The following is a 5,112-nucleotide window of genomic DNA, read 5'->3' on the forward strand; positions in this document are numbered from 1 at the left end:
ATACTATGAACCAACTATATCTAATAGAAATAAATAGAATAATTTACTCAATAAAAGTAAAATGTGCCAACTTTATGTATGCATAAACTGCACACAGAATCTTCTCCATAGTAGACCCCTTGTTAGACCATAAAGCCAGTCTCAATAAAATTGAAAAGACTGAAATTATACCAAGTATCTTTTGTGATCATGAAACTAAAACAAATGAACCTAGAAATTTTTGAAAAGAGAAGGAAAACTGTAAAATTCACCTATATGTGAAAATTAAGAACCACACTTGTAAAAAACTAAAGGGTCTCTTGAAGGAAAGCAGGAGCTCAGACTCTTAGAGCCAGCTGTGTCTTTGGACCCAAGGCCTGACCTAGGCTGCTATCCTAATATTGTAGGAGGGGCCTATCTTCCAAGCCCCACCCTAAGGGTTAGTCCTTGGCCAAATCTTTTGCCTTCTGGGCCCAGCCAGGCTTTTCTGACCAAATAAGCAATAAGAAGCTCTAAGCTGACTGAGTTGCAAGAACACTTTCTGCCCTCCCTTGGATCTCCACATTTTTCCAGATGGAGGAAGAGCATGTGCCACCCCCTTTCCTAACAGGCTTGTCCAAGTGCTTGGTGTGGGACCCATGACCAAAGCCCAGGATGGCTTGGTGGGAGTGTCCCTGCTGCATCTGCATGAAGCCCCTGCTTTCTAGGCCTCACTCCCATCAGAACCCTGCCTGCCCACCTGCAAATCCCCTACAGCAATGCCATTCCCACTTGCCCCAGAGAAGCTACTCAGCCAAACGTAGCCAGGGTCCATTCATGTGGACCAGAGCCCGCCTAGTCATTATTTGCTGTTGGGTTTCCAGTTTCACCGTGTGTTAGGGCGAGGGATGATTGTAAATTTGCTCCTCAAAGGAATCAGGCCAGACTCAATTTTGGAGGGCAAGACAGGGAGGTGGCCACTTTATCCCAGACTCTGTTCTAGGGCTTCCCACCATCAGCCCCTCCCACTTGAGACTGGTCTTTGGGAGGCAATAGGCCACCATGCCTGGTCAGCACGAATTCAAGCCATGCCAGGAATCTGCCTACCTGCCAGGTTCTGTTCTTTTAAGGTGCCTCTTCAGGGACACAGTGTGTCTCTCTGATTGGGCTTCTAAATCAAACCCTGATGTTCGTGTCCCTCTCATAGGGGGAGCTTTGGACACAGAACCAGTTTGGAAAAGGGTCAGGTAAGGGTTTCCACTCTGCACATTGTAGAGGGGACACTCTGTAGGCCCATGGGTCCCTTACTAGAGAGGTTGAGTGAATTTGCCTTCAGTTAACCTGGGACCTTCTGTTTAGCTTTCTCCTGCCTCCCAAAGATTTTAAGCATTTTGTAAATGTATAAACTCACCTCTGGTAACAGTGGTCCAGATGCTGCTTCGTGATAAAAGCATGGGAAATGTAAAGGCAGTCTTTCCCTGGGAAATGGATGCTATTCTACTCTGCTGCCCCTACCTGTTCCTGAGGCCTCATTTAGAAAGAAAATCCCCTCAGAAGGCTGTCTGGCACCCAGTGTCCTAGCCAGACCAAGTATATGAGAAAGGTAAGTCCATTTTCCCCTTCAGGTCTTCAGTGGATTACTTAACCACTGCTGTCCCTCGGTCCCTTTTTCCTAAACAGGGGTTTTGTTCCGTCTTTTTCTCCTTTTTTCTAAATGTCGGTAAATATCTACAGTCAGCCAGGGAAGAGGAGGCCAGAGGTCGGGCCAGCCGCCCCATTCTTTTAACATTGTAGGGCCTGCCCCTGGAGCGGACCCTCCTCTTTGGGCCTTGTGAGCTTTTTTGCTTATCATGTTCCATTTTGTGCCGCTTTCCCCCTTCAAGAGGCCATTTGGAGGGTAGGGGATCTGCTTCCCACTGTGACTGGGCTATGGGATTCTGACTACCTTGCTTACAGATTCATAGTTTGATAAATTTGTTGTATTCAAAAACTTGAAATGCAGGACGCCATTAAGTGTCTGTTTATATTTTTGGAATATTTGTATTACTTACAATTGATTAATAAAAGGGTGTTTAAAAAAAAACTAAAGGGTCAAAAAGGAAATCACAAACGAAATTTGAAAATATTTAGAGAATAAAAATAATAACATACCAAAACTTAGATGATCCAGTGAACATAGTGCTCACAAGGAAATGTATAGCAGTAAATGCATACATTAAAAAAGATAAAATATTTCTACCAAATAGCCTAGCTTTACTTCTTAAGGAATTAGTAAAAGACAAGCAAATTAAAACTACCAGAAGGAAGGAAATAGTAAAGAATAGAGTGAAGATAAATGAAAAAGAATAGAAAAACAATAGAATCAATGAAACCAAAAGATGTTTCTTTAAAAAGATCAATAATATTGACAAAACTTTACCTAGTTTGACAAAGAGAGAGACAGAGAGAAATAAGACACACAAAATCATTAATGTTCTAGGTTACATTTTTATAGGTGACAGACATATGAAAAGAAATATAAGGAAGAACTCATCCTAGTTTATGTTTTGTTCTATCATTCTACTTTATTTATTATCTCAAGCTTTGATATTTAGCAATCATACTTTAAAGACTTTAAAGTGTTTCTGAAATGTTAATGAAAATGTGCCCATTTAAAGAAGAAATTAATATTCCTTTTTTACTTTATTTATATATATAAAAGGAAAAGCACATATAATACAAATGCTTACACAACTTACCACAATGTTGTTTCAATCATGTGAAATCTTCTGGTTTCTTCTGTAAGATTTAACGAATGAACATCTATAAGAGGAGTTTACAAAGTACCCCAGTTCTTATTCTGACTGAGTTTCTTTCCTCCTTTTTATTATATATGCTACAAGGGTGCAAAACTTAAGTCAGGAAAATAGCTTACCTGTTGACAAGGAATCAGCAGGCTTGAATCTATTAATTCTTTAAGAGTCATTCATACATGTTTCCATTTTTTGTGTGTGGTTGATGGTGACACACTCAACAAAGTCTACCAATTAAAAGCAGCTGAAAAAGAAATGGAAGAACAATGTGGGTTCTTCCCTATAATAATTTACCTTTATTTATTCTCTATTCAAAATCTTGTTTACATAGTCTTGTTTAAATAATTTAAAGTACATATATTCTGAGCAAAATTAGAAATTAAATTACTATTCTTAGGGTCCAGGACAAGTTTGACAAATATGATGACAATGTGTTTAGAAAAAAATAATCCCCAGAACTCAATATCTAAAAGATTAATTATAAAACTTATCAAATGTTTATTTGATATTCTTTATTCAACTATCTGCAGCTTTTTCATTACAGAAGAATCAATATTATTCTTTAACATTTTCAAAATATTGTAAACATTTATTGAATAATTATGTTCTAAGATGTTTTTGTGTTATAGTTATGGTTTCTACTAGTTAAAATCAGATTCATTTTTCAAAATGCAGATAATGTAAATTTTTCATGACTTGAAATAGTTATCATTGTATTTATGGGACATACAATATAGAGAGTAGATGTACAACATTGTGCACTGTCAGTGCTATCAAAAGGTATGATTTAATGTGGGAATTGCTACCCATGTTTTAAATCTCAAAGTAGGAATTTTTAACTGAACAACCCTAATAATCCCAAATATTCTAAAGCTCTATAATCTCTAAAGCCCTGTTGAATTAATTCTTTCTTGTACCTGAATGATTTCTCAGAGTAAGAAGTTCAAATTATGGTGTGTAAAGTAGGGCTTCTATTATTTGTCTTAAAAAATCTCTACTTAGGCAGTTGCAAAGAGTCTGAAAAATGGCTGATTTCAATTTGAGTTGTGAGATCTCTCAAGATCTTGTTTCACCCAATGTACAGTAAGAATATTATCTGTCTTCCAGAATTGGTCAGAAAGGAAAGTAAGATAAAGAATATTAAAGTGCTTTGTATGCTATAATGCACTCTTGCCCGTGGACATCATGCTTAAGGGAGATTCTGAAATTTGGTGCACAAGTTGCTCTTTGTGATTTTATAGGAATGAATCACATGGCTTTCAGCCTTCGTATTTCCTAACTGAGAAGCTCTGCTTTTTTAGATCGCCCTTTCAGAAATTTCAGTCAAACCAAGATTTATTAGTGCTCACTATCTGCTGTGCACTTCACTGGCGGTTTATAATGCAGAGAGGAAGATAGCAGGATTTCTTCTTTACTTCCTTTCTAACCTTTTTGTCACTTATTCAGTGCTTCTAAAATTGGTCAACCAAAATTCCACTCTTGGGTGAAGATTGTGAATGTGAGCCTGAGGGAGAAACACTGGGAGAAAGCATGACCCAGTTTGAGGAGAGCATAAATAGTCCATCTCTCATCATCCTTCAAAAGAGCAATGAATATAACTGCCCACATTATTTTAAATGTGATTGTCCATTTTAAGAAAAGGTTTCTTTTTTTGTAAATATTTTGTCCAATAGTCTTCCTTCAGGCTTTTCCATATTATTGTATCTTTCTTTTTTTGCTTCCGGAAATAGAATGAACAAAATTCAGCTCAAATTAATTAGCTTTCTACTTTTACCTGTTAGCCTAGACAAGTTAATAAACTAACATACTAATAGGAAAGCACAGGAAATAAAAATGTCAGTAAATAAAAATTGAGTGGATAGAATTTTTTTTTTCAGGATATGAGTACAGCACTATAACTCCCCACATCTCACATCCATTCCAAGAGAAACTGTTTTCACTATTTACCTCCTAGCATTTTATTGCCTTTTTGCCTACATAGACGTGCTGGCAAGACATCATCCTCTGTAGTAACCAAAAAGATCTGTCTATCCTCTTACGAATATAGTGAAACTAAAAATGGTGTATGGATCAGACATCGATTCCACATGTCTGCATTTATAACTGTATAGAATCTCACCAGCAATGCAGACTTTATGATCATGCATACTTGAAGACTGTTATAAGTAAATGATTATTTTATCTTCTACTGAAAAGCTTAGATGATCTCACATTTTGAATAGTGGTTTGAAAAGAAGATGATCTAACTCAACTGGAAATCCACATTAGTGGTGAACTACTGTCTCATAATTTACCACAAGCACTAAGAATATGCTATGTATATGAAAGCACTGGCTAGAACACTTCCCATTTTGCAGTTCCT

General features: G+C 37.1%; 1 pseudogene; it reads left to right on the forward strand.

The window, feature by feature from the left end:
* Positions 267 to 2,038, forward strand: LOC100128056 (CTD small phosphatase 2 pseudogene; annotated as a pseudogene).

Source organism: Homo sapiens, chromosome 7 (assembly GCF_000001405.40).
Source record: "Homo sapiens chromosome 7, GRCh38.p14 Primary Assembly".
NCBI lineage: Eukaryota > Metazoa > Chordata > Mammalia > Primates > Hominidae > Homo > Homo sapiens.